At 40.6% G+C, this 16,077-nt stretch overlaps 1 long non-coding RNA gene across 1 annotated transcript in view; it reads right to left on the reverse strand.

Annotated features, from left to right (window-relative positions):
- LOC440084 (uncharacterized) overlaps nt 1-4,691 on the reverse strand; it is a 56,469-nt gene extending 51,778 nt beyond the window's left edge. The window contains exons 1-2 of the long non-coding RNA NR_148969.1: nt 4,577-4,691; nt 4,062-4,164 (exon numbers count right to left, since the gene is read on the reverse strand). This is a non-coding gene — a long non-coding RNA (uncharacterized LOC440084). The remainder of the gene's footprint in view (nt 1-4,061; nt 4,165-4,576) is intronic.
- Nucleotides 4,692-16,077: the final 11,386 nt, after the last annotated feature.

The following is a 16,077-nucleotide window of genomic DNA, read 5'->3' on the forward strand; positions in this document are numbered from 1 at the left end:
AGGTATGCTTTGGAGATACAGAAAAGGGCAAAGAGTAAATGTAAAACTGGGGCAGATTCTGAAGGCATTAAGTGTCATGCCACACACAAACTATTAACAATAAATTATCAACCTTTTAAAAGAGAAGACCAAAATGATCATATTTGCATTTTACAAAGATAAATATTGTGACAGAGCAAATGTTCATTTGGGAAGAGGAGAAGAGGAGAAGACTACTCAATCTAGTTATTAAAATGAGAGCATTCACAGAGGAACACAGAGGTGAGAAGGGTGTGTTGTCAGCTGATTGTCCCTGGGTCTCTTTCAGCACCATCTTCTACTTTCCCGAATCACCTGCACAGTTCATGGCTGCTCTAGAGCTACCAACCCAATGGGTCTAGAAGCAGTCAACTGTTTCCTGGGGCAATAGATAGACCCTTGTGGGGGCCAGGCATAGCGCCTTACACCTGTAATCCCAGTGCTTTGGGAGGCCAAGAAAGGAGGATCGTTTGAGGCCAGGAGTTCCAGACCAGCCTGGGCAATATAGTGAGACACCCATCTCTACAAAGAAGTTTTAAAAAATAGATCCTTGAAAAAACCTGGGGCTGAACCTGTTTGGCATATTCCACATAAACTTTTTCTTTTTTCTTTTTTTTTTTTTTGAGACAGGGTCTTGCTCTGTTGCCCAGGTTGGAGTATAGTGGTTCAATCATGGTTCACTGCAATCTCAAACTCCTGGGCTCAATCGATCCTCCCACCTCAGCTTCCTGAGTAGCTGGGATTACAGGCATGCTCCATCATGCCTGACTAATTTTTGTATATTTAGTAGAGACAGGGTTTTGCCATGTTGCCCAGGCTAGTCTTGAACTTCTGGGTTCAAGAGATCCTCCCACCTCAGCCTCCCAAAATGCTGGGATTACAGTCGTGAGCCACAACGTCCAGCCAGAAGCTTCGAACTATAATATGTTGCTGTATCTAATCCACTTCTTAGATGAAGAAATTTAGCCCCAGAGAAGTTTAGTAACTCACCCAAGGTCAAACAACTTATCACTGGCTGAGTCAGGACTCAAATCTATCCCAAGACCGGAGGTTTCATGTTTCATGCAACAAAATGAAAACACAATAAGAACAAAACAAACCAAGAACCAAAACTCAGACTCTCTGTTTCTTGGGTCAGTTGTTTTTCTATGACTGAGTCACATCCAAGTGTGGATATTTTTAGGAAAAGCTCTAATAATTTCAGAGCTCTTACAATAGACTAGGCAGAGCAGCAAGCTCTGAAACACCCTAAATAAACATAGTTACTCCTCTGGGTGTTTTACTAAACTGGACAGTTCGGCCAGGGCTCTCCTTTGTACTTTCTGCATCACATGAGAAGAGGTTGAAGAATCTGTAGGAGTGCCTTAGTGTAGGCACAAAGCTAATCATGGTGGGGGAAACAAGCTCTTTAAGCAGCAATAGCAAAAAGCAGTGGGTCAGGTGGTTTTTTAGAGAGGCTGACATGAAAGGAAATTCAACAGAAGATAAGTGCACTTTCTGAGTTACTACTTTAGATGAAATACATGTAACCTGTCTGATGCAGAGTTAGGTAGGTAGCTAATGTGGGGTGTGATATAAGATAACCCAGACCCAAACCACATACCTACCATACCTCCAAAGCTGTCATTTACCGCCATAAGAAACAGTATTTGGGAGTGGTAAGTCATCGTCTCTAGAAACTCTTGCCTCTCCCTTCTATTCCTATTAAAGTGACTTAATAGGTGATGCATTATTTCATTCATTAATATCCTCCGTTGTGCTGCTTGGTAATACGTGCTATGGCAGCATGAGGGTTTAGGAGAAATGACTACAAAACAAATGTGGTTTACAGATGTTTTATTACAGACTCTCTTTTAATCCCCCAATCAGTTCTTTTATATAGATAATATTTTCCCCACTTAGGATGAGAAAACTGAGGCTCAGAGAGGTTAAGGGGATAGGCCCACGTTACATAGCCGGACAGAAGCAGAGCTGGGATTTTCCCTGTTGTTGTTGTTGCCTGTTGCTAGACACGGCCTTGCTCTGTCACCCAGGCTGGAATACAGTGGTGTGATCTTGGCTCACTGCAACTCATGCGACCCTCCCCGCTCAGCTTTCTGTGTAGCTGGGACTACAGGTACCCACCACCACACCCAGCTAATTTTTGTGTTTTTTGTAGAGATGAGGTTTCACCATGTTCTTGGGCTCAAGCCATTCACCCACCTCAGCTTTCCAAAGCACTGGGCTTACAGGCATAAGCCACCACTCCTAGCCTAGAGCTGGGATTTTAATCCATGCCTTCTGAAGGCAAATACTTATTCTTTTCATCACATCTGTTTGGTATATCAGCAGAAATCATTAAGACAAATGGGACTCACCACTGAAAAAAGGTACAAATATAACACATAAGAAAGTGTGGTATAAATAACAGATCCAAATTTAAAATATATATATTTAGAAAACCTTTATATCAACCAGCTTTCTAGATATTACTGAATATACTATGCTTGTGGATTTAAAATGTATCTAGGAAATACAAGCCCACGTCCTCACAGGTGCCTCCTAGGAAAAACCGGCAGGTTTGTGTTTGTTTTGTTTTTAATGATCTAAAAGAATTCAGCAGATAAATGTTTCCCCATATACCTGAAAAACCCACTCATCCTCTTAAGGCAGGTCACAAAACTGAAGAATTTTTAAACAAAGCAGAAATTTTAATCCAAATCTTTCTCCTATTCTGTTGGTGATAAACCGACTAAAAACAAAAGAACAAAACCACTGTTCTTTAAAGTTTAAACTTTCATCTGCACTCATTCTTTTTTTTTTTTTTTTAGACAGAGTCTCGCTCTGTCACCCAGGCTGGAGTGCAGTGGCGTGATCTCGGCTCACTGCAACCTCCACCTCTCAGGTTCAAGCGATTCTCGTAACTCAGCCTCCCGAGTAGCTGGATTACAGGCGCTCACCACTACGCCAAGCTAATTTTTTGTATTTTTAATAGAAAAGGGGTTTCTATTAAAAATGTTGACCAGGCTGGTCTCGAACTCCTGACCTTGTGATTCACCCACCTCGGCCTCCCAAAGTGCTGGGATTACAGGCAAGAGCCGCCGCGCCCAGCCTGCACTCATTCTTTAGAAGAATAATGCCCAAGACCACAGCCTGCAATGTGCACACAGTCACCTGGGCATCTTGTGAAAATGCGGATTCTGATTCTACGGGACTGAGGTGGGGCCTGAGACCCTGCATTTTAAACCAACCCCACACTCTGAGTAGCAAAGCCCTAAAATACTTTTGTTTGTTTAGGTTGACATATATTGTCAAATGCCGGCTTCTCTCAAACACCAGTGAAAGAACCTTTTCATAAGGCAAAGTTGAGTTTATTGCTCACCGCCATAGGGAGATGGCTACTGTGAACTGCTGGTCCCCAACCTTTTTTGGCACCAGGGACAGCTTCCATGGGACAATTTTTCTCCGGATGGGGTGGTCAGGTGGGGATAGTTTGGGGATGAAACTGTTCCACTTCAGATCATCAGACATTAGATTCTCATAAGGAGCACACAACCTAGATCCCTCACATGCACAGTTCACAATAGGGTTCGCACTGCTATGAGAATCTAAAGCTGCTGCTGATCTGACAGGAGGCGGAGTTCAGTCAGTAATGCTCACTTGCCTGCTTCCCACCTCCCGCTATGCAGCCTGGTTCCTAACAGGATACCTTTAGGTAAAGTTATTGCAGGGGTAGGAGACCCCTGCGGTAAACCAAAAATAGAATTTGAAGGCCCCTGGCAACGATCTGAATGGACTAACTCTTTGGCCAGGGCATGTAAAATTTAACCTGAAAGACTGGCTCAGGCCGTGACGGGAAGTGAGGGTTGGACATGCCTCATTAACATTAACACAGACCTTAAGTCTGATAAGAAATACTTACAATCTATTTTTCTTTAAAGCCTGCTACCTGGAGGCTTCATCTTCATGATAAAACCGTGGTCTCTACAACCCCTCCTGGTAACCCAGACATTCCTTTCGTAACTCTTTCAACCAATTCCCAATCAGAATATGTTTAAACCTACCTATGACCCGGAAGCTCCTCTTCTCTCCTCACCCTTCGAATTGTCCCACCCTTCCAGACCGAACCATGTAAATCTTCCGCATATTGATTGATGTCTCATTCTCCTAAAATTTATAAAAGCAAGCTGTACCCCAACCACCTTGGACACATGCTGTCAGGACCTCCTGAGGCACGTCCTTAACCTTGGCAAAAAAAAAAACTTTCTAAGTTGACTGAGACCTGTCTCAGATATTTTGGGTTCACACTATCTAGATTCTTAGTAGTGTCTCAAAGCCAGGTGCCAAAGTTGGGATATTTATAACATTGAAGGTGGGTCTTTCAAGGTGGGGGCATGAGGTTGATCAGAATTTGGTAAAGATCGTGATGTGGTAATTAAGGATCAGTAAATGCCATGGATTTTGAAGAGTCCTGAGGAGTAAAAGGTTGTTCAGCGCTATCAGCGGGAAAGTTGAACAGTCTGGTTTTCTCAAGGGTTGTTTTCTGGGGAATTTCCTGAAACAAAAAACAGTTACTTGCAATTTTTATCTTTCTGGACGAGAGTTTCCTGGAATAGCTGACTTTTGTTGAAGACAGTGAATAGTACAGTCATTGACAGTAAGCTGTCTGGGTGTCCATGCTTTCCGGTTTTAATACAAATCTGCACTCACATAAAATAGTGATTGCGCATCCGTTGTGACGTGGCGCTTTGGTGTCAGACAGCACCACCTGCTGGCTCATGAGGGTTAAAAACGTTTAGAACTGCAAAAGTTACTTTTAACAGCAGGGCTCTGCTGCCACCTATCGGTTTATTTTTAAACTTTTCAAATGTTTTTCTTTTATTTAATACAGGTCTACTATACTAAGCACCAATCATTCAAAAAAAAACAGGTGCTATAAGTAGAAATGTAGCGCAATATTGTGGAGGCGGACATGAAGGCAGGTGAGGTCCTGGTGAGGTGGTAGAAAGATGATTAAGGACAGGATACAGTGTACAGCCCAAAGGACAGAGTTGTCTATCTACTACGGATGACCAGTGTGGGGGCAGTTAGGGAAGCTTTACAGAGGTAAGGAACCCTAAGGTGTCTCTTGAATAAGAATTGACAAGTAGATATGAGAAGGAGGAGTTAGGAATTCCAGGCAGAAATACAGGCAATGTGAAGATATTGTGCTAGCTGGGTGATTTAGCGTGGCTGAACCACGAGGTGTAGCAACAGGTCCCAAGAGAGACATAGGAGGCCAGATCATGGAAGGCTTCATATGCCTGACTAAGGAGGTTATCCTGGAGGCAATGACTGGGGAATCACTGATGAGTATTAAGCAGGGAAAATACAGGATTAAATCAGTTTACAAACACCACTTCAGCAGAAGCATAGAGAATAGATTGGAAGAAAGTGAAATCGAAATTTGGTACATCAGTTTGGAGTCTTTTTTGTTACAAGTCATATAAACCTATTCTGCTCACTTAAATAAAAAGAGAAATTTATTGGAGATGTATCAAAAATGCGCCAAGTTATCAAGATGCTGGAAGATCAGACTAGGAAATGGGCAGGAGCATAGCTAGTTTGGAGTACGCACAGCAGCCGTCTCATGAATCTGACAGGCTTCTGCTGCAATAGGTCATCGCTGCCACCACTGCCCTGAATTAGTCCTAATCACCCCAGTGGGATCCCAGCTTGGCAGCTTTAGGCCATTTGCCCTTGCCTTGGTAGCCAGGTAGCAGAGTAAGGAATAATGAGCTGCTATGACTTCATAAAATGAGCATTAGTTAGGGTATCTGTCTGGCCACAGTAACAAAGACCAAAATTAACAATGACGCAAACCGAAGTGTATTTCTTCCTCCTACGAAGGCCCAAGTTGGTTTGGCAGCTCTTTGTGAAGCTATTGCTGGCCCAGCCTGCCTCTGCCTTTTCACTCTGCAATACTTCACGGGTTCCGTTGCACAGCCCAAGATGGCTCCTCCGATTCCCACCATCACTTTTCCATTCCAGCTAGCAGGAGCAAGGGGGAAAAATAAGATGGCATGTTCCTTTCTTTTAAGAGCACAACCTGGATGTGGCATATCTCTCTTCTAGTCACATGCCATTGTCCAGAACTTCATGACATAGCCACACCTAGCTACAAGAAAAACTAACAAAGTCAGGATCCTGTGTGGCCATGTGGGCAATTAAAATCCTACTACTAGGAAGAAGGGAAATGGGTATTGGAGGAACAACTAGAGGATCCCCAAAATAGGAAGTAAGAGGCTAGATTCTGGAATGGTCAAAAAATAAAAGATAAACGTCCAGTACAGGTGGTAGACTCTGTGTAAGAGATCAGAGGGATCAGAAATAAGGCAGGGAACAGGAGGATGGGAGCAAATGTTTTGAAATAATATGAAGAACTTAGATTCTTCAGGATTTGGAGCCTGATTTTATATAGGTGATAAGAGAAAAGGAGAGAAAGTTGAATCTCAATTTTCTGACCTTGGTGACGGAATAGATCTTTGTGCCATCCCCAAATAAGAAATATAATGGGAAGCATACATGTTTCAGAAAGGTCTACCTACCATTCCACTGGAGATGCCCAGTAGGTGGCCAAATATATCGTTTTTGACACAAGACAGATGGATTTGGTAATTGTCAGCATACTGGTGGTAGCTGAAGGTGTGGAAGATGATTACTTCACCAGGGAAGAACATGAAGCTTGAGACTAAAACAGGACTGAGGATGGAGGATTAAATTAATTTGTGAGCATACAATCAGAGTTAACCAAACCTGTTAACCAACCCCAGAGCTACAAGGAAAGCTATCAGAGCATAGTGCCAGTGATAACAGCTAGGTGAGCCACCTTCCAGTGTATCCCTGCCTTTTAACTCATCTTTTGTAAGCTAAAACATTGAAAAAGATACTCACCAGAAAGAAATACAAAATTTTCTTTAGATGCTGCCTAGAATGAGTACCTCAGCAGTGGAAATTATCACTGACATGATACAATTCAAGGAGTCAAAAAGGAGGCTGCTTTGGGCCATTCCTTCCCCACTGAAGTGACAAACCATTATTAACAGGAAATTTCTTTGTGTTAAGCATCTTTCACTGGAGGCTCATTCCCACAGAGGACTAACCCATTAAACTTCAAATATCTTGGGTAGTTTTTTTTCCAAATCATTTTTCTATCTGAAAGGAGAGGAAGAGGGAGCTCTGAAGAAGGGTTGAAGGCTACAAATAAAGGCTATCCTGTAGAATTTACTGCTTTACAATCTCTGGTTTATTACAGCTACTTCCATCTAGTAGTACTCTCTGTAGAACCTGAAAAACATAGATACAGTGGTCATTACAACAAAGTAGAACAATTTTGCTTCATAAATGTTTAGTCAATAATAGATGGGATCCTCATGCCCTTCACCATCAAGAAGTTTGCTCAACAGGTCAGTCTTTTTCTGTGAAAATAAAATAAACTGTTTTTATTTTTTAATCCCAGTATCCATCCTTAGATCGTCTCATTTTTTTCTCCTTGTTTTTCTTTTTTCAGCATGTAAAGTTACAGCTTGACCTTAGTGAAGCACTATGGACAGACATGAATAATTTTTAATAATATGAAGAATAATTACTGGGACAGTCAAAGTACCTGCTAATTATTTTTCATATGGCTAAAAATTATTCAGAATATTACTGGGACAGTCAAGTTACCTGCTAAAGTTCTGGGAGAATACAGAACTTCTGTGCTCTCTTCCCCTTTATTCATCACTTTTGAGTTATAATTTATATACAGTAACATTTATGTTTTTTAAGCCAGTCAAATTCAGCAGTGGGAGGACAGTAACTTTATCTTTTTGAAGTGTACACCTTGATGAATTTTGACAATTGTATATAGTCATTTACGCACCATCACCATCAACATATAGGAAATGTTTCACACCCCAAAGGGTTCCCCTGTCTTTAATCCCCACCTCTGACTCCCAACTCCTGTCTCCTGTTCTCTGATTTCTATGTTTACAGTTTTACTTTTTTCAGAATATTACACGAGTGAAGTCATATACTATGTAGTCTTTCATGTCTGATTTCTTTCATTTAATGAAATGCTCTTGAGATTTATCCATGCTGGCATGGGGATCTACAGTCTGTTCCTTTTGTTGTTGAGTAATATGCCACCATGTGGGTATGCCAAAATTTGTTTTTCCTTTCATCAGGTGATGGACATTTGGGTTGTTCCCAGTTTGTGGCTCTTATGGATGAATCAACTATAAACATTTACATACAGGCCTTAGTGTAGACATATATTTTCATTCCTCTTGGGAGTGGAACTGATGGGTCGTATGGGCACTTTATATTTAACTTTTTAGGTAACTAACAAACCGTTTTCCAAAACGGTGCTACTATTTTGAATTCTTACCAGAAATCCATGAGAGATCCATTTCCTTCACCTTCTCACCATCACTTGGTATTGTCTGTCTTTTTAACTTTAGTCATTCTCATGAGTGTTTTATGGTATCTCACTGTGGATTTAAGTTTCATTTCCTCAGTGAATAATAATGTTGAGTATTTTTTCATGCACTTATACACCACCCTTATTTAGGTGTCTGTTCAAATCTTTTCACCACTTTTTTTCTGAATTATTTGTCTTATTATTAAGTAGTAAGAGTGCTTTATATATTCTGGATACTAGCCCTTTGTTAGCAAGTGTCATAAACATTTTCTCCCAGTCTGTGGCTTATCTTCTCATTTTAAAAAATTTATTTTATTTGCTTACTTACTATTTTAGAGATGTATGCTGCCCAGGCTAGAGTGCAGTGACTACTCAGAGGCATGCAATCATTGTACACTACAATCATCAAACTCCTGGGCTCAAGCAATCCTTCCACCTCAGCATCTCAAGTAGCTGGGACTACTACAGGGGCATGCCACTGCACCCAGCTTTTATTTTCTTAATAGTGTTGTTCAAAAAACAAGTTTTTTAGATAAGCAGAAAGTGCGTGTGGAAAAAATAGAAGTTTTAAATTTTGGTGAAGTCCAATTTCTCATTTTTTTGTGGTTCATGCTTTTTGTATCCTATTTAGTGAATTAAAGAAGATATTAAATTCTGTGTTTTTAAATAAAATAAAGCTATAGTAATCAAGTTAATATAATATTGACATAAAGAGAGACATATAGATCAATGCAACAGAATAGAGAGTCAGTCCATTTGATCTTTGTTGTTACTGGGTTCATAATCCCAAAAGATACAACTCAAAATGCCACAATCTCAAATCCCGAAAGGTCAAATTCCTAAAATAAATCATAAAAAATTCTTTAAAAGACATTCATTTACATGTTTTAAAGAGGATTTATTTGAGAAACATAAAAACACAACAGACCATAGGCCACTTTACACAATAAAATGGACAATAATAACATACATATTTTCATAAACATAAACACTCAGGTATGCTAAAGACAGTCACATGGGTATAACAATTATGAATCATATTCACAAAGAAATAGGTCAAAAAGCCACATGGAGGGAAACGACACACACTGGGGCCTACTGGGGGGTGTCGGTGGGGAGGGAGAGCATCAGGAAGCATAGCTAATGGATGCTGGACTTAATACCTAGGTGATGGGTTGATCTGTGCAGCAAACCACCATGGCACACATTTACCTATGTAACAAACCTGCACACCCTGCTCATGAACACCTGAACTTAAAATAAAAGTTGAAGGAAAAAAAGGAAATAGGTCAAAAAGTGAAATGTATAAACGCATATCACTATGGTTAGTAAATGTGTGCACCCAGCTTTCTTAGTTCATCTGAAATACCGTGAAGAGCATCCTAAGTCTTTTGATGAGATCGATCAAAAATTGTGATGGGACAAGTTGGTCCCAGCTCTCAGAGACAGATCAATTCACCTTCTGTATTTGTTATCTCTGGGCTCCTGGGCTCCTGGCCCACGGCATGGTGTCTCCCACCACCAAGGGCAGATCTTCCCCACATAGTCCTCTCAGACTCATACATAATCTCCTGTGGAAACGTCCTCGCAGACACACCCAAAATAATGCTTTACCAGGTTTTTAGTTATTCCTTAATCTGGTTAAGTTTACATCTAAAATTAAGTCCACAAATTCACCTCTTGTTAACATGACACTTACTTGCATCTCCTTACACCATATTTAATTTCCAAATAAAGACCACAACAAGGTGCTAGTTCCACCAAACATGATGCAACTAACATGATACAACTACCTTTTATGCAACCAAAAATGCGCTAATCCCATCGCCAGAATTCAGCTTTCAGTATCTCAACATTTGGGGTTTCAACATTTGGGATTACAGCATTCGGAATTGTGTCTTTTGGGATTATAATTGGCATCATTATTACCACACCTAGAAAATTAATTGCTTAGTATCATTAAGTATTTCATGTTTCTATTTCTCTGATCTTAAAACGCTTTTTCCATTTGTTTGTTTGAATTGTTTTGCAGATATGATTCAGACCCTGTGATGAATTGAAATGTCTCCTAAGCCTCATTTTATCTATAAATTCCTCCTTTTGTCTATTTTTTCTTGCTTTTAAAAATCTTAATTGAAATAGCTGGGTTGTTTTTTCTATAGAATTTCCCCCACAGTCTGGATTTTGCTGAGCTACATGCCTTTAATGCCATTTAACACATTCTTCTGTTTTGTCTATTTCCTATACATTGGTAGTTACACCCTGAGGCTTGATCGGGCTCAGGGCCAATTTTTGCTCTGCAAGACTACATCATAGGTGTCAGCGGTTCTTCAGGAGGCATTTAATGTCTGTTTTCCTCTCCATTTGGACGCGGTCAGTCATTGAGAACCATTATCTGGCTCCGTAAGTGTGCATTCTGAGGCCAGTCCCTTCACTGTGCTTACTCACCAGACCAGTCACACACTAATAAGCAGCTACTGTAAAGGTGGGTGTCGGAGGGTAGAAATAGATAACATATAATTTGACCCGGAAGTAATAGGCAATCCACGGGGGAGCAAACTACAAACTACATTGGGAGACATAAAAACTATTATGGTCCACGCAAGTGGTGAAATTGAAGGCTCTAAAGGTAATATGACATCACAAAGGAGGGGGATAATCAGCATTCTTCAGCCCCTGGCCACCTGTCAGCATAAGAAAGCCTTTGACATGATTTCATGTTCACAATGTTTTTTCAAATAAATCAATAGAATAATGAGGCATCACATGACCCAGTGAAACATCTCAGCTTCATACATATAGTTTAAAAACAATGTAGCTTAGCAGCTGGACATGAAGAAAATATATTAACATTTCAATAGACGGAAAACTTGATATCACCAATAGTAAATGTCCTCTTACCGCCCAAATGTCTCTCCCACCCAATAATTAATGTGATCCTAGACTATATTAGCAGAATTATCAAATCTAGACTCTAAAAGATAATGATTCAATTCTATTCTACACCAGTCAAGACATTCCATGAGAACTACAAGAGGAAAATATCAAATACCATCACATTTACTTCTATACCCATATCTATATCTGTCTACGTGCTACCACAAACTATGGACACTCCTGGCATTGTATTTTTAAGTTGATGATTATACAGAATGTTTAAAAACCCCTGGGCTACACCATGAAGCAGATTTGATCAGTGGAAGCCATTTGAGCTGGTTTCATGTCCTTTTGCCATTTTCCCATAATTTTATTTGTTTGGCTCCTTTTTTTTTTCAGTACAAACATACATACACACACCAATTACATTTACATCTACACCTTTATCTGTATCTGTCTACCTACATACTAAAAACCATAAATCTACTGATACCTTCAATCCCAATCTAGTACCACAGATCACAGGGATCATTCCAGTTTCTTCTCTTTCTATACTTGCAATTTCCTTCTCAGATAGTGAAAAACCTGGCTTCCAATAACCTTAAATATATTTACCTATTTGATCAATCCCAGTGTATGTAACTTATCTCCCATCTTCCCTGCCACTCCCTCCCTGCTCTGACTCTGATTCCCATTGCAAGCCACTCTCCCATAAGATGCCTTCCTTAACTGGCTTGGGCTCTGACACTCCGCATCAGGACACACTCCTTCCTCACATTAACACTGTCTTCACCCAGTGCAGGTTCTGACACCCATACCAGGCTATGTTAGCTCTGTACCACCTCCCATACCAAAGATGGTTTAGGATTGAATTGTTCAGGAAGGGATGGGAAAGGAGAGAAAGTGAGAAAAAATAAAAGAAATCAGAAGAAAAACTAGACTTTTGGTAGAGAAGAAAAATAGATGAGGGTAGATTAGAGACACCAGTTAGGAATCTAGGAATCTTGCATTCCAAGTAAAGGGTAATGATAGTTTTATAGGACTGTGGCAGTGAGGTAGAAGTGAATCAAGTTGAGAAACGTTTAGGAAGTAAAATGGATGGAACTTGATGATAGATTCAATATAATGCATGAGAGAAAGGGAGAGAGTCATGTTGAGGATGACTCAACGGTTTCCAGCTTCATAGCTTTATGGATAATGATACCGTTGCTGAGCAAAGGAACACTGGAAAAGAACCATATTCTACATATCCACCAATTTCATTATTTCGTACATAGCATTAATATATCTCCCTTGTATTATAGTTATTTATAGGCATATAGGTTTCTGATATCAAGGCTTTTCAGAGGTTTGCAAAGTAAGGCCCACGGGTCAAATTAAGACCTGTTTGGCCCATAGCTAAGAATTGTCTTTACATTTTTAAGGTTGTTAAAAGAAAAAAAACAAAGATAAATATGTGACATAGACTGTATGTGGTCAGCAAAGTCTAAAATGTCTGCTCCCTGACTCTTTATTTAAAAAGTCTGGGGATCCCTGCTTTCTATGGTTCATTTTGTTTTATTAGATAATGAACACATGCTAATAAAGTTGAATTTAATACTTAAAAACAAGATATCTTCCAAGGAATTTAAAATTGTAAAATTAATACATAGGAAGCATAAGTTTCATGTGTATAGCATATAGAAAAATGCATAATTTTGAAGTTCAGAAAATGAAAAAAATTTGTTCTTAGTCAACAAAAATTCATAAAGAAAAAGAGTTTGTAAAAATGTGAAGGTTCACCTTGGATGAACACGTTGGAAGTAATTCAAGCATTATTGAATTTTTGTATTGAGATGAATGTGTTTTTAATCTTTCAAAATTATATATTATGGATGATAAATTATTTTCTCCTAAACACCAAGTTTTATTGCTTATAGTTTCTCAGTTTCACCTTTACTTTTTTAATGATAACTAGAATATCATTAACACAGAATGTTAATGAGTGAACCATGGCTCAACAGTTTAGTCAATGTGAAGCCAAATTCCAATGCCTCATTTATGATTGCACTTGTATAGAACCCAATAATTTTTTGATGTAAAACTATTGCTTCACCTTATCTACAGACCCCCACCACAGTCCACTTTGTGCCATGTTCTGTAGCTTGTACCTAGAATTAAGGTTTGGATATTTTTGCTGCTGGCTGCCTTTGGTAATTAATTTTATTTCGTCTAGTTTTCTTAAGAGGCAAGGTTACAGGAATTGCCATGTAAATGAATATGCAAGTTAGTAACTTAAGCTTATAGCCAATGCACTATATTTTTAATAGGATAGTAGCTGGATTGATCTGTTTTGCATACAGGTGGTTTTATACAAAGCATATTAGGCATGGGGGAAGGAGCAAAAAAGGAGGGAGAAAGACAGAGACTCTGTCCTGTCCCCTCCATCCAATGAACCAAACTTTAAACACTTAGTTTACGGCAGACTTCCTTTATGATGCATTTTCTTATCCCTCCCTTATCTGTTTTTGAGTTTAGTGTTAACTGTTTTTTTTTAATACCCCACCATATGTTGTTCAAATGTCTATCTATACAACTGTCACACTTCAGGACAGTTGGTCCACATTTCTACTCCTGCCTGCTAGACTGAAGACTCCTTAGGGAAAAGACTGCACCTCCTCTATCTTTCTAGTCCCCTTACCTAATACAGTGCCTACCACGAAGCAGGTAGGTTTGTAAGATGAAGGAATCCATGGATAGTTTGTAATTCTTGGGAGATGACAATGCCTAGTGGGAGTGGCCAGAAGGATTCTTTAAGGATGAAAAAGAATGAAGAGTAATAAGGGGAGGCTGAATGTTGGATGTTCTGGGAGTCACTCCTTCTCCTCTGTGGTTTCTGACCATTGAGAGATCAAATGGGGATGACAGCAGAGATGGCTAAGTTGTCCCCACTATCTATTCTCTCCTTCTTCCAAGGTGATGGAGTCCTCAAATTTTGCCTAAATACATGACTACCCACAAATGAGACTTCAATTCCCAGCATCTCTTGCAGGTGGGTGTGGTCATGTGACTGACATCTGGCCAATGGGATGTAGGCATGTGCTCAATGGCAGTTTCTAGGCCATTGCTTCCTTTTCTCTCCTCATCCTCCAACCTCGATTAAAAGGTCAAGGGCTACATCCAAGGAATGGTGGGGCAGAAAGGAGGAAGGAGCCTGGTATCCCAAGGACTTCATAGGGCAGAGCTGATACACAAGCTTCATAATACAAAATCTGGACTATTGCCTGAGAAAGAAATTAATATTTTTTCATCCTTTCTCTCTTTTCTTTTTCTTTCTTTCTTTCTTTTCCTTCTTTCTTTCCCTCTCTCTTTCTTTCTTTCCCTCTCTCTTTCTTTCTTTTCTTCTTTGTCTTCTTTTCCTTTCTTTTCTTTCTTTCTACCAGCTTTTCCTAGCTTTTTATTGTGGTAAAATAGACCTAACCTAAAATTTACCATCAAAACCATTTTTAAGCATACAGCTCAGTGGCATTCGCACATTTACACTGCTGTGCAGCCGTCACCACCAGCCATTTCCAGGACTTTGCCATCATCCCAACCTGAAACTCTACCCATGAAACACAAGCTGCCCAACTCCCACCTTGTTTCCCCATCCCTGGCGGCCACTGCTTCTGCTGCTATGAACTGGACTGTTCTAGGCACCTCACATAAGTGGACTCACACAATATCTGTCCTTTCATGTCTAGCTTCTCTATTTAATTTTTTTTAATAAAACCTTTTAAGAGACAGGGGTCTCATTATTTTGCCCAGGCTGGTCATGAACTCCTGGCCTCTGGTGATCCTCCCACGTCATCATGACTGACTTCTCTATTTAATTTTTTTTTCTTTTTTTTTTTAAGATGGAGCGTTGCTCTGTCACCCAGGCTGGAGTGCAGTGGTGCAATCTCGGCTCTCTGCAACCTCCACCTCCCAGCTTTCAAGCAATTCTGCCTCAGCCTCCCGAGTAGCTGGGAATACATGTGCATGCTACCACGCCCAGCTAATTTTTTGTATTTTTAGTAGAGACAGGGTTTCACCATATTAGCCAGGATGGTCTTGATCTCTCGACCTTGTGATCCGCCCACCTCGACCTCCCAAAGTGCTGGGATTACAGGCGTGAGTCACTGTGCCTGGCCTCTATTTATTTTTTAAAGGTGGGTGGGAACTAAGTGGACCATAGAGGAGCTTCCCGCACAGGTAAAGACAAGGTCGGGTGTACTGAGAGACGCAGGAAAGTGGGTCAGGGTGTAGGGCTGGAGGGCAGCTATGGCCTCTGGGCCTGGACTATGGCCTCTGCCCCGGGGCACACACAGAGCAAGGGCTGCCCAGAGGAGCCAAGACTGGCTGTCAGCCTGGCCCTGAGCCCAGGGGGAAGGCAGTGAGGGACAGAGGACAGAGTACACAGGTCCTGTCTTTGGCCATAAGCAACCCGAAATGAGGCTTAGTCTCCTTCCTGGAAGCCCACTCTGTGCCTCACATGGTGGGCCCCAGCGTGAAGTATGTGACTGCGTGACTCCAGTTCCTATGTTGACCAGGATGTTCTTGAACTCCTGGGGCCAAGAAATCCTCCCACCTCAGCCTTCCAAAGTTCTGGGATTATAGGTGTAAGCCACTGCTCCCCACCTGGAATGCTGTCTTTGTACCAGCTCCCTGGGCCTGGTAGAGAGGCACACATTCTGCTAAGAGACTTTTCCTGACTTCCCTAACCCTAGAAGGGATTTGTCCCTCCTTATTTTACTCATGGC

This window comes from Homo sapiens, chromosome 12 (assembly GCF_000001405.40).
Source record: "Homo sapiens chromosome 12, GRCh38.p14 Primary Assembly".
Lineage (NCBI taxonomy): Eukaryota > Metazoa > Chordata > Mammalia > Primates > Hominidae > Homo > Homo sapiens.